Raw genomic sequence first — 27,537 nt, forward strand, 5'->3', positions numbered from 1 at the left:
CATTCAGGCAGTAACTCTGGGTGTAATCATGGGCATGCCATTCCTCTCTGAGCCTATTATTTCTTTCTCAAACTAAGGAGTTTGATGAGCTGATATCCAAAATTACTTATTGTCCTGTGACTATGTGAATGTACCCCCTCCTAATCCCACCTACTGGCCAGCTTGCATTAGTTTTAATGTATTCAGAATGAAAGATGCCCTATGGGTAAGATAGCATTGTCACTGTATTCCCACCCCTGTGTGAGAAAGAGTCAAAAAGAAGAGAAAACAAACACACACAAGGAATTAATTAAGCATAAAGAGGGAATAAATCTTAACCGAAGAAATATCTTCTTTATCTATGTCCATTTCCTCCAAAAAGGAAAAATGGCAGTGTCAGTTGTACATTACATATATCTCTCTTTCTTTTTAGTGTTTAATCTTAGCACCTGCACAGCAGAGATCTTTACAATTCATTGCATATGCTTTCTCCCTTCTCCCCCAATACAGCACCTGAGGCCTAAGAAGCAACTCCCTCAATGCTCCACAAAAGGCTGAGACCCTTCTTCATGACAGAGTGAGTATAGAAATAACAAACATGCCCAACGCTTTTATACAGTTGCTAGAACGTTTTCATTTCCAACAAATGAAGATTTTCCTCCTTTTCTTTGAATATTAATTACATTTTACAAATTTTTGTGGGTTTTTTTGTTTTGTTTTGCTTCATTTTGTTCTGTTGTGTGTGTACAACAACAGGAAAAGTCCATGGCAAGGAGTCCCGGGTTAGCAGAGTTTGGCTGTCATCTGGTCCGACTGTTTGAGGATCTCCGTGTTGTACAGGTCCAAGGCGTGGTTCACCCTGATGATCTCGCTGTTGGTCAGTTTCAGGCGGTGTTTCAGCATACAGGAGAACAAGTCCAGCTGGGGTTTCCCCGGGGCCACAGGAGGGGCCAGGCGATTAATTCGGTCCCGAATATCCAACAAGAGGAGCATCACTGACGAAGAGGAATAGAACTGGCCGCCCTGTGTGTAGGACTGGTTGACCTGCTGCACTGCACTGCGCAGGAGGTCGGCGTTGAACCTCAGGCTATACCCAAACACCTGCACGTCTGAGATCTTGATGTAGAACTGCCTCTTGGAGGGATCCGACAGGTCCACGGGGCCCTGGCCAGTCTCATTTCGCAGTAGGGTAGGTAGCCGAGTCCGACTACGTAGGTAGATGTGGACCGTCTCGAAAAATGTTTTCCACCGATTGCCCAGCAAAAGAGTCCAGTTGTAGCACTGGCTGTTTTGGAGACGGATCTTCTCCCAGCGTGGGTAGCCAAATTCCCCGAAGGGCATGTTCCAGCCCTCCGAATGGCTCCCGCTAAAGGGGTTGACATAGACAAAGAACATGGGGTCCAGGCTGCTGTTGCGCATCTGGCAGATGCGCATGGACATGCCGATCACCATGTGGATGAAGTCCATGCGGTTCTTGTTGCTCTTGAGAGTGAGGGACATGCGCTTGCGCCACCGAGGGTCAAAGAAGGTGTCGAGGCGGATCTCGTTGCTGATGAAGGTGGTGTGGACGTAGAGGCGTGAGTCCATCTTCTGCAGCAGGTACTTCAGCTCCAGGTCCTGGAAGTCCAGGTCAGTCTCAAAGCTGATGAACTGCTCGCTCCGCTCCGAGTCCACGTTCTGTGGTTCACAGCGGCCTCGATACAGCTTGTAGCCCTTGTTGCAGGAGCCGCAGAGGGAGATGTTGGCCAGGCTGCACATGGCGCAGCTGTTGTTCCCGCCTATCACGCAGGGGATGGGGCGCTGGCACAGCGTGGTGCTGCCGTGGCACACGCAGCTCCGCTGGCTCTCCAGGAAGGTTCCCCAAAACCCATTCTCATTACAGTAGAGGAGTGACTGGACCCTTGCAAGCCACTGCTGAATTGTCCTGGGAGATAAAGGAAAATTGGAGAAGGTTAGCTACCATGAGTGGGTCTGTGAGTTACAGTTATCCAACTGATAATGCGAACTGGAGCTGCCAAAAAGATGAAAGGACTGGATGGAGCAGTGACAATACAGGAAGGGCATCGAATATAAACGTAAGAACTACATTGTAGCTCCTCCTAATGCCACAAACCAGCTGCATGACATCGTACTTTACCTTCCTAATGTTCAATGTCCTCATCTGCAAAGTGAAGGGGTTGGAGTAAATGTTCCTTGGGGTCCTTCCAGCTCTTTGATTCCATTATACACTAGTCCCAGAAAAGTGTGATTCAGGAAATGAAAGTGTCTAGACTCAAATACCCCTTCTGGATGACAACATATTGTAAACAATCAGCAATGAAAAAGACCTTAGGGGTTATTTGTTTACTTAAACCACATGTTTCAACCCCCATTACAGATTCCTCCCATGAGGGTGTATAACATCTACCAACTTCAACAAAAACAAATTATATTTTATCATACGCTAGAAATCATGTAGTGATTTCTATTGATGATCTTACATGATCCTCATGGTGGTTTTTTAGAACATGTTAGAAAGGGGTTATTTCCCAACAGATGATGGAGAAGGTGTGGAGAAACAGGAACACTTTTACACTGTTGATGTGAGTATAAGTCAGTTCAACCATTGTGGAAGACAGTGTGGCGATTCCTCAAGGAGCTACAATGAGAAATACCATTTGACCCAGCAATCCCATTATTGGGTATATACCCAAAGGATTATAAATCATTCTACTATAAAGACATGTACACGATGTTTATTGCAGCCCTGTCCACAATAGCAAAGACTTGGAACCAACCAAAATGCCCATCAATGATAGACTGGATAAAGAAAATGTGGCGGAGGAGCCAAGATGGCCTAATAGGAACAGCTCCAGTCTACAGCTCCCAGCGTGAGCGACGCAGAAGACAGTGATTTCTGCATTTCCATCTGAGGTACCGGGTGCATCTCACTAGGGAGTGCCAGACAGTGGGCGCAGGTCATTGGGTGCACGCACCGTGCGCGAGCTGAAGCAGGGCGAGGCATTGCCTCACTTGGGAAGTGCAAGGGGTCAGGGAGTTCCCTTTCCGAAACAAAGAAAGGGGTGACTGACGGCACCTGGAAAATCGGGTCACTCCCCCACCGAATACTGTGCTTTTCCGGCGGGCTTAAAAAACGGCGCACCGCGAGATTATATTACCGCACCTGGCTCGGAGGGTCCTACGCCCACAGAGTCTCGCTGATTGCTAGCGCAGCAGTCTGAGATCAAACTGCAAGGCGGCAGCGGGCTGGGGGAGGGGCGCCCGCCATTGCCCAGGCTTGATTAGGTAAACAAAGCAGCCGGGAAGCTCGAACTGGGTGGAGCCCACCACAGCTCAAGGAGGCCTGCCTGCCTCTGTAGGCTCCACCTCTGGGGGCAGGGCACAGACAAACAAAAAGACAGCAGTAACCTCTGCAGACTTAAATGTTCCTGTCTGACAGCTTTGAAGAGAGCAGTGGTTCTCCCAGCATGCAGCTGGAGATCTGAGAACGGGCAGACTGCCTCCTCAAGTGGGTCCCTGACCCCTGACCCCTGAGCAGCCTAACTGGGAGGCACCCCGCCAGCAGGGGCACACTGACACGTCACAGGCAGGGTATTCCAACAGACTTGCAGCTGAGGGTCCTATCTGTTAGAAGGAAAACTAACAAACAGAAAGGACATCCACACCAAAAACCCACCTGTACATCACCATCATCAAAGACCAAAAGTAGATAAAACCACAAAGATGGGGAAAAAACAGAACAGAAAAACCGGAAACTCTAAAAAGCAGAGCGCCTCTCCTCCTCCAAAGGAACGCAGTTCCTCACCAGCAACGGAACAAAGCTGGATGGAGAATGACTTTGACGAGCTGAGAGAAGAAGGCTTCAGACGATCAAATTACTCTGAGCTACAGGAGGACATTCAAACCAAAGGCAAAGAAGTTGAAAACTTTAAAAAAAATTTAGAAGAATGCATAACTAGAATAACCAATACAGAGAAGTGCTTAAAGGAGCTGATGGAGCTGAAAACCAAGGCTCGAGAACTACGTGTAGAATGCAGAAGCCTCAGGAGCCGATGCGATCAACTGGAAGAAAGGGTATCAGCAATGGAAGATGAAATGAATGAAATGAAGTGAGAAGGGAAGTTTAGAGAAAAAAGAATAAAAAGAAATGAGCAAAGCCTCCAAGAAATATGGGACTATGTGAAAAGACCAAATCTACATCTGATTGGTGTACCTGAAAGTGATGGGGAGAATGGAAACAAGTTGGAAAGCACTCTGCAGGATATTATCCAGGAGAACTTCCCCAATCTAGCAAGGCAGGCCAACGTTCAGATTCAGGAAATACAGAGAATGCCACAAAGATACTCCTTGAGAAGAGCAACTCCAAGACACATAATTGTCAGATTCACCAAAGTTGAAATGAAGGAAAAAATGTTAAGGGCAGCCAGAGAGAAAGGTCGGGTTACCCTCAAAGGGAAGCCCATCAGACTAACAGCAGATCTCTCGGCAGAAACCCTACAAGCCAGAAGAGAGTGGGGGCCAATATTCAACATTCTTAAAGCAAAGAATTTTCAACCCAGAATTTCATATCCAGCCAAACTAAGCTTCATAAGTGAAGGAGAAATAAAATACTTTACAGACAAGCAAATGCTGAGAGATTTTGTCACCACCAGGCCTGCCCTAAAAGAGCTCCTGAAGGAAGCGCTAAACATGGAAAGGAACAACCGGTACCAGCCGCTGCAAAATCATGCCAAAATGTAAAGACCATCAAGACTAGAAAGAAACTGCATCAACTAACGAGCAAAATAACCAGCTAACATCATAATGACAGGATCAAATTCACACATAACACTATTAACTTTAAATGTAAATGGACTAAATGCTCCAATTAAAAGACACAGACTGGCAAATTGGATAAAGAATCAAGACCCATCAGTGTGCTGTATTCAGGAAACCCATCTCATGTGCAGAGACACACATAGGCTCAAAATAAAAGGATGGAGGAAGATCTACCAAGCAAATGGAAAACAAAAAAAGGCAGGGGTTGCAATCCTAGTCTCTGATAAAACAGACTTTAAACCAACAAAGATCAAAAGAGACAAAGAAGGCCATTACATAATGGTAAAGGGATCAATTCAACAAGAAGAGCTAACTATCCTAAATATATATGCACCCAATACAGGAGCACCCAGATTCATAAAGCAAGTCCCGAGTGACTTACAAAGAGACTTAGACTCCCACCCATTAATAATGGGAGACTTTAACACCCCACTGTCAACATTAGACAGATCAACGAGACAGAAAGTCAACAAGGATACCCAGGAATTGAACTCAGCTCTGCACCAAGCGGACCTAATAGACATCTACAGAACTCTCCACCCCAAATCAACAGAATATACATTTTTTTCAGCACCACACCACACCTATTCCAAAATTGACCACATAGTTGGAAGTAAAGCTCTCCTCAGCAAATGTAAAAGAACAGAAATTATAACAAACTATCTCTCAGACCACAGTGCAATCAAACTAGAACTCAGGATTAAGAATCTCACTCAAAACTGCTCAACTACATGGAAACTGAACAACCTGCTCCTGAATGACTACTGGGTACATAACGAAATGAAGGCAGAAATAAAGATGTTCTTTGAAACCAACGAGAACAAAGACACAACATACCAGAATCTCTGGGACACATTCAAAGCAGTGTGCAGAGGGAAATTTATAGCACTAAATCCCCACAAGAGAAAGCAGGAAAGATCCAAAATTGACACCCTAACATCACAATTAAAAGAACTAGAAAAGCAAGAGCAAACACATTCAAAAGCTAGCAGAAGGCAAGAAATAACTAAAATCAGAGCAGAACTGAAGGAAATAGAGACACAAAAAACCCATCAAAAAGTTAATGAATCCAGGAGCTGGTTTTTTGAAAGGATCAACAAAATTGATAGACTACTAGCAAGACTCATAAAGAAGAAAAGAGAAGAATCAAATAGACGCAATAAAAAATGATAAAGGGGATATCACCACCAATCCCACAGAAATACAAACTACCATCAGAGAATACTACAAACACCTCTACACAAATAAACTAGAAAATCTAGAAGAAATGGATAAATTCCTCCACACATACGCTCTCCCAAGACTAAACCAGGAAGAAGTTGAATCTCTGAATAGACCAATAACAGGATCTGAAATTGTGGCAATAATCAATAGCTTACCAACCAAAAAGAGTCCAGGACCAGATGGATTCACAGCCGAATTCTACCAGAGGTACAAGGAGGAACTGGTACCATTCCTTCTGAAACTATTCCAATCAATAGAAAAAGAGGGAATCCTCCCTAACTCATTTTATGAGGCCAGCATCATTCTGATACCAAAGCCAGGCAGAGACACAACCAAAAAAGAGAATTTTAGACCAATATCCTTGATGAACATTGATGCAAAAATCCTCAATAAAATACTGGCAAACTGAATCCAGCAACACATCAAAAAGCTTATCCACCACGATCAAGTGGGCTTCATCCCTCAGATGCAAGGCTGGTTCAATATACGCAAATCAATAAATGTAATCCAGCATATAAACAGAGACAAAGACAAAAACCACATGATTATCTCCATAGATGCAGAAAAAGCCTTTGACAAAATTCAACCACCCTTCATGCTAAAAACTCTCAATAAATTAGGTATTGATGGGACGTATTTCAAAATAATAAGAGCCATCTATGACAAACCCACAGCCGATATCATACTGAATGGGCAAAAACTGGAAGCATTCCCTTTGAAAACTGGCACAAGACAGGGATGCCCTCTCTCACCACTCCTATTCAACATAGTGTTGGAAGTTCTGGCCAGGGCAATTAGGCAGGAGAAGGAAATAAAGGGTATTCAATTAGGAAAAGAGGAAGTCAAATTGTCCCTGTTTGCAGATGACATGACTGTATATCTAGAAAACCCCATTGTTTCAGCCCAAAATCTCCTTAAGCTGATAAGCAACTTCAGCAAAGTCTCAGGATACAAAATCAATGTACAAAAATCACAAGCATTCTTATACACCAACAACAGACAAACAGAGAGCCAAATCATGAGTGAACTCCCATTCACAATTGCTTCAAAGAGAATAAAATACCTAGGAATCCAACTTACAAGGGATGTGAAGGACCTCTTCAAGGAGAACCACAAACCACTGCTCAATGAAATAAAAGAGGATACAAACAAATGGAAGAACATTCCATGCTCATGGGTAGGAAGAATCAATATCATGAAAATGGCCATACTGGCCATACTGCCCAAGGTAATTTACAGATTCAATGCCATCCCCATCAAGCTACCAATGACTTTCTTCACAGAATTGGAAAAAACTACTTTAAAGTTCATATGGAACCAAAAAAGAGCCCGCATCGCCAAGTCAATCCTAAGCCAAAAGAACAAAGCTGGAGGCATCACACTACCTGACTTCAAACTATACTACAAGGCTACAGTAACCAAAACAGCATGGTACTGGTACCAAAACAGAGATATAGATCAATGGACCAGAACAGAGCCCTCAGAAATAATGCCGCATATCTACAACTATCTGATCTTTGACAAACCTGAGAAAAACAAGCAATGGGGAAAGGATTCCCTATTTAATGGTGCTGGGAAAACTGGCTAGCCATATGTAGAAAGCTGAAACTGGATCCCTTCCTTACACCTTATACAAAAATCAATTCAAGATGGATTAAAGACTTAAACGTTAGACAGAAAACCTAGGCATTACCATTCAGGACATAGGCGTGGGCAAGGACTTCATGTCTAAAACACCAAAAGCAATGGCAACTGAAGACAAAATTGACAAATGGGATCTAATTAAACTAAAGAGCTTCTGCACAGCAAAAGAAACTACCATCAGAGTGAACAGGCAACCTACAGAATGGGAGAAAATTTTTGCAACCTACTCATCTGACAAAGGGCTAATATCCAGAATCTACAATGAACTCAAACAAATTTACAAGAAAAAAACAAATAACCCCATCAACAAGTGGGCGAAGGACATGAACAGACACTTCTCAAAAGAAGACATTTATGCAGCCAAAAAACACATGAAAAAATGCTCATCATCACTGGCCATCAGAGAAATGCAAATCAAAACCACAATGAGATACCATCTCACACCAGTTAGAATGGCAAACATTAAAAAGTCAGGAAACAACAGGTGCTGGAGAGGATGTGGAGAAATAGGAACACTTTTACACTGTTGGTGGGACTGTAAACTAGTTCAACCATTGTGGAAGGCAGTGTGGCAATTCCTCAGGGATCTAGAACTAGAAATACCATTTGACCCAGCCATCCCATTACTGGGTATATACCCAAAGGATTATAAATCATGCTGCTATAAAGACACATGCACACGTATGTTTATTGCGGCATTATTCACAATAGCAAAGACTTGGAACCAACCCAAATATCCAACAATGATAGACTGGATTAAGAAAATGTGGCACATATACACCATGGAATACTATGCATCCATAAAAAATGATGAGTTCATGTCCTTTGTAGGGACATGGATGAAATTGGAAATCATCATTCTCAGTCAACTATCGCAAGAACAAAAAACCAAACACCGCATATTCTCACTCATAGGTGGGAATTGAACAATGAGATCACATGGACACAGGAAGGGGAATATCACACTCTGGGGACTGTTGTGGGGTGGGGGGAGGAGGGAGGGATAGCATTGGGAGATATACCTAATGCTAGATGACGAGTTAGTGGGTGCAGTGCACCAGCATGGCACATGTATACATATGTAACTAACCTGCACAATGTGCACATGTACCCTAAAACTTAAAGTAAAGTATAAAAAAAAAAAAAGACAAAAAAAAAAAGAAAATGTGGCACATATACACCACGGAATACTATGCATCCATAAAAAAGGATGAGTTCATGTCCTTTGCACGGACATGGATTAAGCTGGAAACCATCACACTCAGCAAACTAACAAACATAAGAACAGAAAACAAAACACTGTATGTTCTCACTAGTAAGTGGGAGTTGAACAATGAGAACACATGGACACAGGGAGGGGAACACTACACACTGGGGTTTGTCAGGGGTTGGGGGGCTAGGGGAGAGATAGCATTAGGAGAAATACCTAATGTAGATGATGGGCTGATGGGTGCAGCAAACCACCATAGCACATGTATACCTATGTAACAAACCTGCACGTTCTGCACATGTATCCCAAAACTTAGAGTATAATAAAAAAAAGGGGGGGTTATTTCCCTGCATTTTTCCAGAGCTCCAAACTCTCCATTCAGTTGATTTCTATTGCAGCCTCTGGGCCCCCTCCCCACAGGCCCTCAACACTATAAATGATACCAAAGTCTATAATCTGATTTCAGCCACCAAAACATTCTAATGAAGACAGATATTCCATCAGATAAGAAGCAGCATCAGAGTAGGAACAAATATGCAAGGCAGTCAGCTTAGAGGCCTCTCATCTTTCCTTTTTTCCATTCAAGTCACCCTTTGGCTGTCTTCCATGCTACCAATAAACTCTTGTGTGTCTAGCACTTTTTACCCTGCACAGGGTATATTCACTCCAATTTTCTCGCTTGAGCCTCACAGCAACACCCTAAAAATACCTTGGGACTTGAGGTCAGTCAGAGACAGCTGAAAATCCTGGCTCCTCCACCTGCAAGCTGAGGTAATGTTGGGCAGTTTTCTTCACCTTCCTAATCATTCCCACCACACAGAGCTATGTGAGGATTATATGAATTTTTATGTGAAGGCTTAACCCCAAACTTGGTACTTATTAAGAGCTCAATAAAAGCGGTTGTTATTCCTGCAAAGGGACTGTCAGCAATATTTTACAGACATGGCAATGGAAGCTAAGGGTGAAAGGACTGCTCAGAGTCAAACAAACAATCAGAGTAGTCTCCTGGCTCACAGCTGTGGCTTTTTGCATTGTCTGTCAAGCGAGAGTCAAGAGCACCTTTCCTAAGGCTGTCGTGCTGTGGAGATGGTGATGGTGATGATGACGATGATGCTCTCAGTGGTTCCTGATCTTCATTTTATAAAACTAGAAACAGAAGCTAATTTGCATTGTACTCTCTGTGGTAGGAAGTGTTAACAATCCATCTATTCTATCACTTCCACTGATGAGCCACAATCCCCAAACCACAAACACCAAGAGCCTAATTAGGCAGTAGAGCCTAATGTTGAAAAGTATGGTTGTTGGCCCAAGCGGAGCTGAGTTCAAAGCTGCATTCTATAACCGGGATCAAGTCACTTCATCTCTTTTTAAGTCTCAGTATCAATATCTAAAATGAGGATAATAAAGCCCATCTTAGGCAGCTGGTGAGAGGATTCAGTGAGATAATATATTTAAAGTGCTTAAAAGAGCCTGGCACAGAGCAATTACGGAAAAGGTAATAATAAAAAGTACTCTTATCCCAGAAAATAAGCTCTTCCTTTGAAGGTATTGAGACACTCTCGGGGATTTCACTATCGCTCTGGAGTTTGAGGAAAACCATTTTGTTATATCCATTTGAAAATGGATACTGTTGAAATGGCTTCCCAGCATGCTTTGCTTTCGATGAGTTGCTTATCGGCTGGGAAAAAATGGCGGAATAATTAGTGGGCTCCTTGAAACCCTCTCCTTTTTAAATCCACAGAACCACCCGGACCTGGCGATAAAACCTCCCTGACAGTATTCAAAACACTGTATTGAAACCCCTCGTTTCTTTGTCAGTTTCCCCTCCAGGCTCTTAGGCTTGAGAGGAGAGGTCCCTTCTTCTCCGAGCACCTAGCCCAGAGGCTGGCTCTACAAATGCTTGCTGAGTGAATCAATGTTTGATGAATGAATGCATAAAGAATATTCATATTTTTCTTGTTAGTTTTCATTTAAAAAAGGAAAAACAAACTTCTACCTCTCCCCTCAGGACTGCAGTATTCGTTTTCCGTACCATCCACCCACACAGCTCCAGGCCTCCCCAGTTTCTGCTTCGTGAGACCAATCCTATTACAGCCTGGAGAACAGCAGCAGGCCCAGCCTTCAGGAAACGGAGCTGGAATAATAATGAGCTATGTGGCTCCCACCTCCCAAACCAGAACATTGACTGAATATTGGGTATGAGTCATCTGATATTTTTGTGAGCTGCAGGGGCCCTCCACACGGCCCTGATTGCGTGGTTCCATCTGACGAGAGCGTCATTTCAAAATGCCCCTTTCACATGGCCCACACTTGCCCCTGTCACTCCCTCTCCAAGTGACAGGACAGTACCCCATTTAGAGTTCCTCTGTTCCCATCTGCAAGGCATTCTATAACCCCGTAGAGCGCCCCCTTTCTCGTGTCTCATCATTGGGACCCTTTGTAAGGACCACAGCCCCCACTCCTTGAATCAATGCTTCATTGTGGCTGAACTCTCAGAATCCTCGGTGAGGGAAATAAAAAGATGAAAGTTCCTGGTGATGCTGCAATAAGCAACGGGGCTAGTGGCAAATTAGGATTCCAGCCCTGTCAGGCAGGAGGAATTGGGGACAGAGGGCCTCTGAGATACATTCGCGAGCTGCGTGGCACCTGCATCTCCTGACCTCAGAATAATCATGAGGTTGTGGGCTGTATCAAAGAAGGCATTAATGATACAGCAAGAGGACTTAGAAAGCAGGTGGTGTTCACGGGGAGCAGGGAGCACGAGGCTGAGGGAAAGAGGAAAGAAAACAGAGGGGAAAGGTGGAGAGTGGGGAAGGGTGATAAGTGGAGAAAAGGACTTGGTGTTGGAGATGGTGGGGAAATGTGGAGCAAATGAGCAGACACAGGCTATGGAGGAGACCCTGGACAGGGAGGATGAAATGGAATGAAATTAGAGTGGGTAGGATAGAGACAAAGAGATGCAGCCAAGGCATCATCTGTGTTAACTCACTCACAGATTTGGGAAAGAGCCCAGGCGGGGGTTCCTAATTCAACTATTGGATGGGCCATTTAAGGGTGGGCTAGTTGTCCATTCTCCTCCCTTTCTAGAGAGGCCAACTGCAGAGACAGTGGGGGCAGAGAGGTAAAGCAATGTTACCAGTGAGTCCTGATCCCCCAGGTCAACAAACTTTCTTTTGCTTTTCCATATTTCATTTTGAGATTAGAACCACAAAAAGCTCATTTCATTGTTTGTGTGTGTGTGTCTTTTGAATACAAGCAAATTGCAATAATGAGGAAAAACCCTCAATCAAATCAATCTCCTATACCTCCCCTATCTCCAGCCAGTTCTCTCAGTAGTTATCATGGATAGTCATAAACTCTACAAGGTTCAATTGTAGGCAGTGTCCTAAACCAGCTGAGAGCATCAGTGACTTACAACTATTGAGTTCTCACTGTATACCAGGCATAGTGCTGGAGGTTCTTCACACTGTCTCCCTGAACAGCACATGAAACCACCTCCATGTTACAGGCAAAGAAAAATGAGTCCTTGAGAAGTGAGATGACTTGTCTGAGATCACAAAATTTGGTATCTGAATGTGGAGTACCTTTGTGATCTCAGATAAGTTATCAGTGCACTCTCTTCTAGGTATCATAATGTAAAATTATAATGATATGGTGAGTAATAAGAAGAAAGCAAGACACAAGAAAAGAAATAAATTGAAATAACGGAAAAATACTGAAAGTTTGAGCCTGTGAAGGGCCTATTATCACATTCCTTGCTTCCTCTGGACCTGCCAGGGTCCCTCTCCTCCACTCACAGATAATTGGGGCTCCCGACAAGTGCATAGGGGGATGCTGGGGATCAGGGATAGCAGGGATTGCAATCTATAAATACCACTTCCCAGGCTAGTTGGTGATAGCCTTCCTCAACCCCGGCAACAGAGAAGCAGCTTAATAGGCTGCTTCAGAGGGGAGGGTCTCACAAAGGCTGACACAACCCCACTGAAAGCCAGTCAGTGTGAGGCAGGGAGAAGCAGGTTTTAAAGTGCTTTTCTCTGTCCCTAAGGATCCAAAGCATCTTCCATCTGCAGCCAAAGCTGAGATGCAATACATCCAAATCAGCATCTTTCTGTTGGATGGGATTTCAATTCATTCTGATAGGGGGCTGAGAGGAGAGAAGGAAGGAGAAAGTAGGAGAAAGAAGGAAGTTGCATTTTCATTTCTAAACTGGAAAACCCTGGAGCCTGATTGATTGATAGGTACCCACACTGGCTCTGAATAAAGCAGTTTTGACCATTAGAAGCAGGGAAACTTCAAGAAGAAACCTTGGGAATGTTCTTCTTTCTCACGTTTAGGCCTGAACACAGAGACTTGGTTGCTGAGGTCAAAAAAATCAGTGTTTCTTAAGTGTTTTCTACATCATGGCAGTTACCACTTTATCCTCACATCAACCCCATGAGATAGGATTCCCTTGTGATTTTTATCCCACCGATGAGGGCATTGAAGGCCACAGAGAGACTGCGACTCACCTTGGTCACACAGCATGGGAGTAGCAGAGCAAAGTTCAGAATTCTTGGGTCCAAACCCAATACTCCCTCAATGCCCATGCTCTATATTCCCTGCCCTCTAAACCCCCAACTGGAGAAGAAAGAGGCTCTGGACCATGTTAACACCTCAGCTGCCCCCCTGCAGGTTCTGTCTTTGCCTCAGCCAGGAATTTCTGGCAACCTGACAGGTCTCCTGGTGACACAGCATGGAGTCGCTCATCATTTCGAGGACAGTCTCCGTCACCCAGGGCTTCCCATCAGTGCTTTCAAAGGTACACATCTCCCTTTCAGAACCCCCTGGCTGGGGAGCCCAGGCTGGGGTTCCTAATTCAAGCAGACTCCCTGCTGATTTTAATTGGAGGTTTTGCCTAAGATGGGAATACAGTGTGGGGCCAGTGGCATTTTAGGGGAGATCATACAAATCGAGTGCCAAGGAGAGAGGAAGAAAAACAGATCTAGGTTAAAATAGAAAGCTATAATCCATAACTCCCATTTGCCTACCAGGAGTGTGTATTTAAAAGTACAGAGGAAATGGAAAAAAATGAAATTGGAGCTCTGCATTATTCTTTTATTTATGCCCTTTGCTTTTTCCTTGGCATTTCTTTGACACTGTAATGGGTGCCCAAGTAATTCTGTGACTCCACAAAATGTGTATTCCACAGACCACAGACTAAACTGAGAAGACAAACAGTTGTTTTTTTAGGTTTCTGATGATGCGCTGTTCTTTAGTTGTGCTGTGTGTGACTCTCTCTGTGCATGTGTGTGTGTGTGTGTGTGTGTGTGTGTGTGTGTGTTAAAGAAGTGGTATTTATAAGAGATGAATACGTCAAGTCAGTGGTGTCAGAATACTTGAGATTCCGCTGAAAACAGCCTCAGAAATGCTATGGATGTGCTAGTATGAATTATAACTGGCCATCAGACTCACTCTGTTCACTATTTTTCCCAGATAAATATTTAGCTTTTAATCATTACCCTCTTTGAGTTTCTAACATTGCTTTAATAACCTGTTTTTCCTTCTCTCAGTTCTTCACATGGTGTCACAGCCTCATTAAGTAGCTCATAATAATAAGGAAGAAATACCAAAAGAAAATGTTACGGTCCCTTGTCATGCTGAAACTATTTTCTAATTTTCAATTGTGGAGTGAAGGTAATAGGTCTTACTGGAGAGGGCAGAGGAAGATGGAAGAAGGAAGAAGGAGAAGAGCATCAATGTAAAAAATCCAATAGGGTCTTTAAAATTAGGTTGTCAGGAGCCTAATTGAGGAGGATTACGAAACAATTTTTGCAATTACACAGTTCTGTGTCTGGAAGGAGGTGACAGGCAACATCAGCTGCATATTCAAATTCAGCATTTTGCTTTGGGGCATGAATGTGCTGAAGACAAGTGAAGGAAGGCGCCCGGAGCTTCTCAAGGGTGACAGAAAGGCTAAAAACAGCAGGACACTCCCTGGTGGAGGGCTACAAGAGTGGTTTATTCTTCTTGGGCAGTAGTTAGACTGTATAATAACAGACTTCAACCAAAAAGCTATGAAATAAGAGGGGACTACCCAGGGTCTAGTGGGCCTTAACCCTGAAGTACAATAATGGTCATCTAGATCTATGATCTTGGCAGTGAGAAGCGGTGATCACAGGTGAGAGAGTAAGTTAAATAAGTGCTGGGCCCTGCTCTACCCCTATTTGACCTTGGATATTTGGCCTTGCTATTTGACCTTAAATAAGTCACCTGACCTCTTTGACCTTCAGTATTCTTATCTGTCAAATGGGGAAGGTAACATCTACTTTTCACTTTGTCTTAAGAGCTAGGATGGAATATGCAAAGCTCTAGAGAGATTTCCAGTGAAAAGAAGTAATGACTGACCATTACTAACCATGATTGTTACTGAGGGCAAGGAATAACTATGCTTTATAAATGCCTTCAGTAAAATTATTCCTCTTGGTTACTAAAACAGCCCAGTTGATCATAGCCTAATATCTTCAACTCATTGGTTATTCAGTCTCCACAGTTCTAATGAATGCTGTCACCAAGATACTTGAAGAAGAAAGAGCTAACATGAGCTTTGGAATCCAAAAAGAAAAAAAAAGGAGTATTGAGTCATAGCTCTGCTACTCATTATTTAACCTTGAGTTAATTGCTTGTCCTTTCTAAGCTTCAGTTTTCTCAACTACAGAATGGAATAATAATACAATCCTTGCAAGGTTGTTCTGAGGCTCAGATAAGATGATGTGCATTAAGTTTCTAACATATAGTAGGTACACACTGTCTCTCATGCAAATAAACTGTGTTTCTCTTGAGCTCACATAGTAAATGATCCCTCTGAAATCAGTAATTATAGATTTAAAAACTCAGAGTGGGAAAGAATTCAACAAATGCTGCTGGATCAGTTGAATATCCATATTAAACAAAATAAATCTTGACACTTAACTTCCTCTGTACTCCTAAATCAAAACAGATGGCTTGCAGATCTAAATGAAAAAAGTAAAACAACAACATCAACAAAACAACTTTTAGGAGAAAATATAGGGGAGCATCTTTATGAAAGTAGGCAAAGATTTCTTAAAAGTGCTCACCGTAAAAGAAGATAATTGATTAACAGGACTATACAAAAATTAAAACAGATTCATCAAAAGATACCATAGAATGAAAAGACAACTTTCAATGACAGAATATATTTGCAATACCTCTAGCTAACAAGAGATTGTATGTATAAGACATGCTAAGGTCTGAAAGCTTGTATACCCCTCCCCCAAATTTGTATGTTGAAATTTCAATTTCCAAGGTAAAGATATTAGAAGATGGTGCCTTTGCGAGCTAATTAGGTCATGAAAGTGGAGCTCTCACTAGTGGAATTAGTGTTCTCATAAATGAAACACAAGAGAGACTCCTTGCCTCTTCCAACATGTGAAGACACAGGTAGAAGGTGAACCCAAAAGCCCTTACCAGACAACCAATCTACCAGTACCTTGATCTCGGACTTCCCAACCTTCAGAGCTGTGAAAAATAAATTCATGCTACTTATGTGCTCCTCAGTCTTTGTTATTTCATTATAGCAGCCTGAACAGACTAAGATAATACGTAAACAACTACAAATCAGTGAGCAAAATTCAGATAACCAAAAGGGAAAATAGGCAAATGATATGGACAGGCACTTCATCAAAAAGCATATTCAAAAAGTCAATATGCAATGAATCTCCACTTCATTCACTATCAGAAAAATGCAAATTAAACTGGCAATGATATATTACTCAGCAGGATGGCAAAATAAAATTAGAATACAAAATTAAAAAGAAGGTAAGCACTAAGTCATCAAGGTTGTGGAACAATTGAAACTCTCCTAGGCTACTGCTAGGAACAAAACTTGCATCAACAAATTCAGAAAACTGGAAGTATGTATTAAAATAGCCAGTAAGTTGAACATATGAATACAGTACATCCCAGCAATTCCATGCCTAATATGTACACAACCAAAAGGCATATATAAAGACATGTATAAGATTGCAGTACTATTTGGAATAATGCCAAACTAGTCAAATGACCATCAGCAGTAGAAGAGAATTCTATATAAACAATAAAATATTTTTGAGAATGAGTGAGCCACAACTACACAAAACAAAACAAAATGGAGGAATATCTCCATTTAGAAAGATGAAAAGGTGAAAGAAACCAGACACAAAGAGTTCATTTCATATATAAAGCAAAACTGACCTACACTGGATGAAGCAGTGGAAAAAAATAATTCCCTTGGGGAGAAGGTTGATAAGGCTTAGAAGAAGACACGGGGGGCTGTACAGTACAGAGAATGCCTTAGTTTTTGATCTGGTGCTGGTCATACGTGTGAATTCACTTTGTAAAGATTCATCTTACTGTACATTTATGTTGTTTCCACTTTCTGTACGTATGTAATACTTTAGTAAAATATTTACCAAAAAGATTGTCCTTTAAAACAATCAGAATGATATTAATAAGGCAGCAAAACATGACATTTTCATATCACTTTCCAACTTTCTGAAGCTCTTCTGTTTGTTCTCTAATTTTGATCCTCACAATTGATTTGTGTCCCAGGCTGGGTTGAGAGAGTATCATTTCATTGTAACGATATGAAAAAACTGAGGCTCAGAGAAGGGAAGTAACTTCCTGATGGTCACTAGTGACTTGTCACATCACTGGGACTAAAACTCACCCATGCGTGAGTTTGTTGGCAGGACGTGGAGGGTGGAGGTAGACAGGAGAATTGGGTGATGGCTCTGACAGGGGATTAAAAAGAAGCAGTCCATAGAAATTATAAGACTTATGTCTATTTTTGACTAAATCCCCTGAGCTTACAGATTCTATTCCAAACAGGAAGCTACTTCCGAGCCACAGGGGGGGAGAAAAAAAGAAAAAACCAAAAACAACAGAAAGGAACTGGAGATGCTTATTTTCTTGCCTTGCATCAGCCAAGTGAGTCAATTGCCCTACTTGCTACAAATGCAGAATAACAAGCATGGGTGCAAATGGAGAGATTCCTACTAGTGTTGACTTAAATACACCCCGGACAGCACTCGCAGTGAAGCTCAGCCACTGCCACACATCTCCTTGCCCCTCACCTAGATTGTACACCCTCGGTTGCCACCATTTTGGACCTCACTACCTTTTTTTTCCTGCCCATAAATAGAAAGAAAGTTCCGAAGATATTCTCAGCTAAAAGCTTCATTGCCACATAGTTAGAAGGACACTTGTAAGCACTTGTGATTGACAGCCAGATGCCCTGAGCTAGCCTGACTTCACATTGTGGGCTTGTGCCTCTTATTTATAGGACAATTTAATACACACTCAGAATAAGTCTTGGTTGCTCAAATTATACCCCCTGCTCCCCACTCCACACATGCATGCACACAAAAATCAGTAGTCAGGGACTATCAAAGTAGCAACTTCTCCTGGGGAGAGCTGCCTATGAGTTTATAGTGACAATTCCAGAACCTTAAAGCTAAATAACACTTAGGCAAGGCCTGGTCCCTGTGACAGATGAGAAACAGAGTCCAGGGACATTAAGTAATCTGCTTGCAGTCACACGAGTAGTACCTGGAAGCCCAGAACCAGAATCTTCCCCTTGAGGAAGAAGCCTGCACACTTCCCAAAATTTATACTGTTAATCTTCCTCCTAGCCTTCTCCAAACAGGCCTATAACATCTTACCTGGGTGACTGTATACTGAGTGAGAAAAGGAAATAATAATGCTTTCCAAAGACTTTTGCACACTGGCTCTAAACTGACATTAATTCCAGGAGATGTAAAATATCACTGTGGTCTACCAATCAGAATAAGAGTTTATGGAAGTCAGATGATGAATGGAGTTTTAGCTCAGGTCCATCTCACAGTGGGTCCAGTGGGTACTTCCGGTGGTAGTTCCCCAGTCCTAGAATGCACATTGGGGATTATATCATAACTGGAATACCCACCAACTGGTAGCATCCCCTCCCTTCCCTCATTCAGTACCCACACTATCTATACCCCTCTCCAAATAATAGAATAATAGTATTTTATGGTACATTCGCCCCCACTTAAACCAGCTTTCAAGAACACCAAAAAAACATTAACAAGAACAATGACAACACACAACAACAAAATATGCACCTAGACAGCGGCTGAAACCTTAAGATAAATCCACTAAACAACAATCTTGATTGACTAGATTTTAAAGGACAATCTTGCATAACAAAATATTTCCTCACAACATCTCTGAAGAGTGCATTAGCCTTTGTACTAAAATTATCACAGGCTTGTGGTCAGCAAGATGACTGACTAGAGGTGGCTAACACTCGTTGCCCAACACAAAAAAGGACCAAAACAATGAACAAACAACTAAATTTTGACTAAAGTGACTAACGGAGAGCACTGAAGTACAGTAAGGGGGTGGTGAAAACCCTGTGAGGCACAGAAAAGCAGGATGACTCTATAGAGAAGGAAACAAAACATCTTGTCTCTGCTACCTCCTCTCCCCGGTCAGGATTAGCTCAGAACCAGGTGAGCCCTCTCCCTGAAGGGAAAAGTCTTCATGGGCCCTGAGCCCAGTTTAGGGAACTGCCTGGAGTTTGCACAGCTGTACTACTCCAGAAAAGAAGCCCACGTTGTATCCCACTCCCGACCCTTTTATTCAACCTGCTACTGCACTGTGACATTTTGAAAGCAAAGCCCTGCTAGAGTGTGTTTTTCTCTAGTGGCCAGTAGCCACTGCGCTTCTCCATCCCTGAGGCACTGACATCATTGCACTATGATCATACACAGTAGTGCTCCATTCCCCAGCCAAGCTGCTGCAGTTCCTTACCCATGGGGAACAAGCTGCCTGGGAGGCACTCCATCTCCCCCATTTCATTTGTTGCTGTGCCCTGCTCCTGGCACCTGAGCCCAGGGCACTGCCTGGGCTCAGATGTTAGGGTCACAGCCTAGGCTCGGTGGAGCAGGCAGTCTGTCCCAGTGGAGAAGCTATGTCTGGGAAGGTAAGGCAGCTGTGTCCCCTCATTGCCTAAACCAGCCTGTTGCCCCACCCCCAGGGAAATGAAGCTTTGGCCAGGGAACAGCTGCAATTTGGCACCCTGCCCCTCCACGACCAGGTACTCTGGCCCAGGAGAGAAGCCACACCCAAGTCAGGAGAGAAGCCTCACTTTCTGGATGCCTGAAGTAACCTGTACCTTGGCCCCAGGAAACTGAAGCTTTGACACATGGAAGCAGCCATGACCGCATGCCTAAGCCCTGGTGGTGTTCTATCCCTTGGAGACCAGGTGCTCCAGCCCAGCAGAAAAGCCATGCCCAAGCTGGCAGAGCAGCCTTGCACACTTAGCACCTGAACCAACTAGTCTCAGGTAATTGGAGCTTTGGCCCAGGGAGCAGCCACAACCCTGGTGCTTGAGTCCACACAGCACCTGACCCCCAGGGAAGCACAGCCTTGGCTGATCTGTATCACCTTGTCCACTATGTCAAACTGCTACAGTGCCCTACTGCCCTGGATCTGGACCAGCCCTCTGAAGTATGCACGACTGAGAGGCCCTACCTCCAATGCGCAGTAAAGCCAATATTGCACTGCTATTTGAACCCTAGAGCCCAAGCCACAGCCACGCCCTGCCATTCCTGGTTCTTGTTTCTACAGCGCCTCAGAGGATTTGGGTAGCTGTTATGTCCCACCATTCCAGGGTCCAGAGTCACCACTAAGCAGTACCCTCTCTCCTGATGCCCGAGTTGTCTTTGTGCCCTGCTGGCTCTCCAACCCAAACTGCAATTGTATCCTGCTCCCCAGAACCTGAGCCACTGAAACACCTCTTCCTTCCGGGAGCCATACCAGTGCAGTGTCCTGACACCCAGGATCAGAGTCACGGTTACATCGCTGCCATCTGGGCCTGAGCTACTGAAGTGCCTTGGAATCGTAATCCTCTGCTTGGTGGGAGAGCTAAGAAAGTAAAGCTGCACCCATGTCACATGGGCCACAGTATTCAACAAGACACTGATCATAGGACCCCAGTTCCATTGCCACTCTAAGCACCTGTGTCCTGGAAAACAGTGCCACTATGGCTGCCTGTTACCTATATTATACCCAACTCCGAAAGGAATTCAATTCAGCTAAGTCTTCACACTGTGGGAAAAATGAGAACAACAGGATCCCTGAAGCCCTTGTTGCCAATAACCTTAACAATCTACCTTGCCACCACCACTGCCACAAAGTCTTGTAGACTAGGCTATTAAGGTACCCACAGAAATTTCTGACATTGATTACAACTGAAGAAGTTGCATGATGGCTACACCAGTGCGCCCACCCAGAACCAGAATTAAGCACCTTACCCAACTGACACCATAGGACACATCTGCAGGGGAATGTCTTTTTCTATGAGAGCTATTCTATAAAATTATAATCGGTGATTGTCCACTAAATGCACAGATATAAACATAAGGACACAAAGAACATGAAAAAACAAGGAAACATGACACCACCAAAAGAACAAAATAATTATCCAATAACAAATCCTCCAAAATGGAAACTGTGAATTGCCTAAAAAGGCATTCAAGACAATGATCTTTAAAAACAAAACTCATTGAGATACAAGGGAATATCGACAGATAATTCAATAAAATTAATAAAACTTCAAGATCTGGGAGAAATTCAACAAAAAGATATCATTAAAAAGAACCAAAGAGAAATCTTAAAGCTGAATAATTCAATGAATGAATTAAAAAACAAAATTAAGAGCTTCAATAGCTGCCTACATCAAGTAAAAGAAAGAAAGTCTGGACTTGAAGGGAAGTGTTTTAAAATAGCCCAGTAAAGGGGGAATTTAAAAATTGGATAAATTAAAAAGAGTGAATAAAGTATATGGGATTATGGGACACCAGTAAGCAAACAAGTACTTACATGATGAGTGTAAGAGGAATAATAGATGAAGAAAGGCATAGAAGGCTTATTTAACGATATAATTGTTAAACATTTCCCAAGTCTTGGAAGAGACATGAACATCCAGATTCACAAAGCTCATAGGTTCCCAAATAGGTCCAACCCAAAGAAGTCCTCCACAAGGCACATTATAATCAAAATATCAAAGACATCATAGAAATGATTTTAAAAGGCCAGGAAATAATAGGATGATACAGTTAAAGTGCTGAAAGAAAAAATAAAAAAAACTTTCAATCAAGAATATTACACCTAGCACAGAAATGAAGAGGAAATAAAGTCTTTCCCAGACAAAGAAAAGCTGAGAAGATTCATCGCCACTAGACCAGCCTTAGAAAAAATGTTTAGAGCCAGGCATGGTGGCTCACATCTGTAATCTCAAAGACTGTGGAGGCTGAGAGGGGAGGATCACTTGAGACCAAGAGTTTAAGAGCAGCCTGGCCAACACAGTGAGACCCCATCTCTACAAAAGTTTTAAAAATAATCATAAAAAAATACAATTAGCCAAGCATGGTGGTATGTGCCTGTCATCCTACCTACTTGGGAGGCTGAGGTGGGAGGATCACTTGAACCCAGGAGTTTGAGGCTACAGTGAGCTATGATCATGCCACTGCACTTCAGCCAGGACAACAGAGTAAGATCCCCATCTTTAAAAAAAATGGGAAGTACTTCAACTAAAAGTAAAAGGATGACAATTACTACCAAGAAAATATATGAAAGCATAAAAATCACTGGTAGAGGTAAATTCATAATTAAATTCAGACTATCCCATGACTATAATAGTGATATATAAATCTATCAAATCTCTAGTATGAAAGTTAAAAGTTAAAATGACCAAAAATGACTGTAGCCACAGTAAGTTCTTAAGGAATGCACAGTATAAAACATATAAATTGTGGCAACAAAAATATAAATAGTTGGGGGGAGGGTAAAGGTAAAAGGTATATGCAACCAAATTTAAGTTATCAGCTTAAAATGGTCTATTATAACTACAAAATATCTTATGTAAGCCTCACAGTAACTACAAAGAAAAAAAATATTACAGAGATACACAAATGAGAAAAAGAAAGAAACCAAAGATCAGCACTACAGAAAATCACCAAACCACAAAGGTAAACAAGGAAGAAAGGAAAAAAAGGATCTATTAAACCACCAGGAAACAATTACCCAATATCAGTAGTAAATTCTTCCGTATCAATAATGACATTAACTGTAAATATCCAATCAAAAGACATAGAGTGGCTGAGTAGATTGACAAAAGAAAAGACTCAACTATAGGCTACCTATAAGAGACCCATTTTAGCTTAAAGGACACACAGCTGAAAGTGAAGGGATGTAAGAAGACATTTCTTGCAAATAGTAGTCAAAAGAGAACAGGGGTTGCTATGCTTACATTAGATAAAATAGACTTCAAGTCAAAAATTATTTCAAGAGAGAAAGACGGTCATTGTATAACAATAAAAGCATCAGTTCATCAAGAGGACATAGCAAATATAAATATACATATGCACCCAACATTGGAGCACTTAAATATATAAAGTAAATATTAATGAACCTGAAGGAATAAATAAATATCTATACAATAACAGTAGAGGACTTTAACACCCTGTTTTCAACAATGAATAGATCAAGCAGACAGAAAAATAACCAAAATATACTGAACATGAACTGCACTTTAGACCAAATGGACCTAACAGACATATATAAAACATTTCATTCAACATCAGCAGACTATACATTCATTTCTAGAGCACATGGTACATTCTCCAGGACAGATCACATGTTAGGCCTCAAAACAAGTTTTAGTAAATTCAATAATATTACAATTATATCTAGTATTATTTCCAACCACAATGGTATGAAACTAGAAATCAGTAACAAGAGAAATCTTGAAATATTCACAAGTATGTGGAAATAAAAGAACATGCTCCTTAACAACCAATAGGTCAAAGAAGAAATCAAAAGGGAAACTGAAAAATATCTTGATACAAATAACAGTAGAAACATGACATATGAAAACCTATAGGATGCATCAAAAGAAGTTATCAGAGGGAGGCTTACAGCAATAAATAATAAACAAGAAGAAAGATCCCAAATAAATTAAGGAGTTAGTAAAAGAAGAGGAAACTAAACTGTAATTTAGCAGAAGGAAGGAAATAATGACGATCAGAACAGAAATAAATCAAATACAGAACACAAAAGTCATGGAAAAAAAATCAATAAACCCAAGAGTTGGTTCATTGACAAACTAAGCAAAATCAACAAACCCCTAGCTAGACTAAAAAAAAAAAAAATAAGGAAACTCAAATAAATAAAATCAGAAATGAAAGTGGAGACACTACAACAGATGTCTCAGAAATAAAAAGGATCATAAGGGACTATTATGAACAATTATATGCCAACAAATTGGATAACCTGGAGGAAATGGATAAATTCCTGGAAAATGCAACCTATGAAGTTTGAATCAGGAAGAAAAAGAAAACCTGAACAGACCACTAACAAAGACATTGAAGTGAAGTAATATTTAAAAACCTTCCACTAAGGAAAAGCCCAGGACCAGATGGCTTCATGGCTCAATTCTACCAAATATTCAAAAAATAATTGTTACCAATACTTCTTAAATTCTTCCAAAAAATAGAGCTAGAGGGAATACTTCCAAACACATGTTATGAGGCAGCATCACCTTGATATCTAAGCCAGACAAAGACACTGCAAAAAAAGAAAACTACAGGCCAATGTCTTTAATGAACATTGATGCAAAAATCCTCAATAAAATATTAGCAAGCTGAATTTAACAACACATCTAAACCAAGTGGAATTGATCCCAGGAACGCAAGGCTGGTTTAATATATACAAATCAATAAGTGTCATGTATCACATTAACAGAATAAAAGATTAAAATCATAAGATCACCTCAATTGATACAGAAAAAAGTACTTGACAAAGTTAAACATTTTTTCTTGTTAAAACTCATAAATTTAGCTATAGAATAAAAGTTTGTCAATATAATAAAGGGTATTTATGAAAAACCCACAGCTAACATCATAATCAACAGGAAACAACTGAAAGCTTTTCCACTAATATTCAATTCCAGGCAAGAATGTCCACTCTTACCACTTCTATTCAATACAGTACTGGAAGTACTAGCAAGAGTAGCCAGACAAGAAAAAGAAATAAAAAAGCATCCAAATCAGAAAGGAAGAAGTAGAATAAACTCTATTTGCAAGTGTCATAATTCTAATATGCAGAAAACCCCAAAGATCCCCCCACAAAAAACTATTAGAATAAATGCATTAAATAAAGTTGAATTATACAAAATTAAGATACAAGAATGAGTAGCACTTCTACACACAAATAACTTAGTTGAAAAAGAAATTTTAAAAAGAATCTCATTTACAAAAAAAATACTTAGGAATAAATTTGACCAAGGAAGTTAAAGACTTGTGCACTGAAAACTACAAAACATTAAAGAAATTAAAGAAGACACAAATAAATGAAAAGATATTCTGTGTTCATGGATGGGGAAAATTAATATTATCAACATATTCACACTATTCAAAGCAATATAATGATTTAACAATCCGTATAAAAATGTCGATGTCAATCTTCACAGAAATAGAAAAAGTAATCTCAAGAAAACCAAAACTCACATAGCCAAAGCAATACTGAGAAAGAAGAACAAAGTAAGGAGGCATCGTGCTTCCTGATTTAAAATTATACTACAAAATTACAGTGATCAAAACAATATAGAACTGGCATAAAAAAACAGAAACATAGACCAATGGAACACAATTGAGAGCCCAGAAATAAATCCAATCATAAATGGTGAACTAATTTTCAACAAGGGCACCAAGAGGATACTATGGGAAAAGGATAATCTCTTCAATAAATGGTGCTAGGAAAACTAGATTTCCCCATGCAGACTAATGACATTGAACCCTTATCTTACATCATACACAAAAATCAATTCAAAATGGATAAAAGGCCTCATTGGAAGATCTGAAACCCAAAAAACTCCTAGAAGAGAACATAAGTAGAAAGCTCCTCAACGTTGGCCTTAGCAATGAATTTTTTGATATCATACCAAAAGCTCAGGCTACAAAAACAAATATAAATGAGCCTATAGTAAACTAAAAAGCTTCTTCACAGCAAAGGAAATATTTAACAAACTGAAAAGGCAACCTACAGACTGAGAAAAAGTATTTGCAAACCACATACAAGAGATTAATAATCAAAATTTACAAAGAACTCTTACAACTCAATAGCAGAAAAACAAACAACCCAATTTAAAAAATGAACAAAGGACCTGAACAGACATTTCTCCACAGAAGACATAAAAATGGCTAACAGGAATATGAAAAGGTACTCAACAGCACTAATCATCAGAGAAGTGCAAATTGAAACCACTATACAATATTGCCCTGCTCCCATAAGGATGGCTATTATAAAAAAGACAAGAGATAGCAAATGTTGGTGAGGGTGTGAAGAAAAGGAAACCTTTCTATACAGTTGGTAGGAATGTAGATTGGTACAGCCATTATAGAAAACAATATAGAGGTTCCTAAAGAAATTAAAAATAGAACTACCATACAACACAGAAATCCCTCTTCTGGGTATATTCCCAAAGGAGATGAAATCAGCACAGATAAAGATATCTGCACTCCCATATTAACTGCAATATTATTCACAATAGCCAAGATAAGGGAAGAAACTAAATACCTATCAACAAATAAATGTATAAAGAAAATGTGGTACACAGTTGTTTCTCAGTATCTACTGGGAACTGGCTCCTCAACCCCCCAAAAATACCAAAATCTGATGATGTTCAAGTTTCTTTTTATGGCATAGTATTTGCATAACCTACACACATAACCTACCCATGTCTTACTGTATACTTTAAAACATTTATAGAGTACCTATATTACCTAATGCAATGTAAATACTATGACATGGTTATAATGCTATATTTTTAAAATCTGTATTATTTTTATTATTGCATTGTTATTTTATTAAAATTTTTTTTATCGATAGTTGGTTGAATTCATGGATGTGGAACCCACAGATATGGAAGGCTGACCATATGTATATGATATAATATTATTCAGCTTCAAAAGTGTGATATCCTACTGTTTGTTACAACATAGATAGATCTACAAAACATTATTGTAAGTGAAATAATCCAGACACGGAAATACAAATATTGCATGATTTCACTTAAATGCAGAAGGAAAAGAAAAAAAGAGCTCAAATACACAGAGACAGAGAAATAGATAATGGAAATAGTGGTTACTCTGCTTGTAGGGAGAGAGGAAATGGAGAAATGTAGGTCAAAGGATACAAAATAACAAATAAGTAGGATGAACACATTTACAGAATTAATACAGCATTGGGGATTGCTGTTAAATAGGTAGATTTTAGCTGCTCTTGTAACAGGAAAGTAACTAGGTGAGATGATAGCTATGTTAATCTGCTTCACTATAGTAACCATTTTGCTGTCCATATGTATCTCATAACAGCATGTTGTAAACCTCAAATACACACAATACAATTTGTTTTCAAAAAATAAAGTGCTTGCAAAAAAATTAATGTTTTACACTGGAAAAATGAACAAATGAAAAACCTACTCTATGTATCCAGTGGCCACAAATCCTTTGCTATTTCTCCCGTAAAGACAACAGGTCTATGTACTCTCCCCTTGAATCTGGGAAGATCCTACAGTGGCTTTG

General features: G+C 40.9%; 1 protein-coding gene across 1 annotated transcript in view; it reads right to left on the reverse strand.

Moving 5' to 3' along the window:
• Window positions 1–307: 307 nt before the first annotated feature.
• BRINP1 (BMP/retinoic acid inducible neural specific 1) overlaps window positions 308–27,537 on the reverse strand; it is a 202,807-nt gene continuing 175,577 nt past the window's right edge. Inside the window, exon 8 of the mRNA NM_014618.3 lies at window positions 308–1,903. Coding sequence (NP_055433.2) covers window positions 763–1,903 — 1,141 coding nt within the window. The 3' untranslated portion in view covers window positions 308–762. The remainder of the gene's footprint in view (window positions 1,904–27,537) is intronic.

The sequence above is a fragment of the Homo sapiens genome, chromosome 9 (genome assembly GCF_000001405.40).
Source record: "Homo sapiens chromosome 9, GRCh38.p14 Primary Assembly".
Classification (NCBI taxonomy): domain Eukaryota; kingdom Metazoa; phylum Chordata; class Mammalia; order Primates; family Hominidae; genus Homo; species Homo sapiens.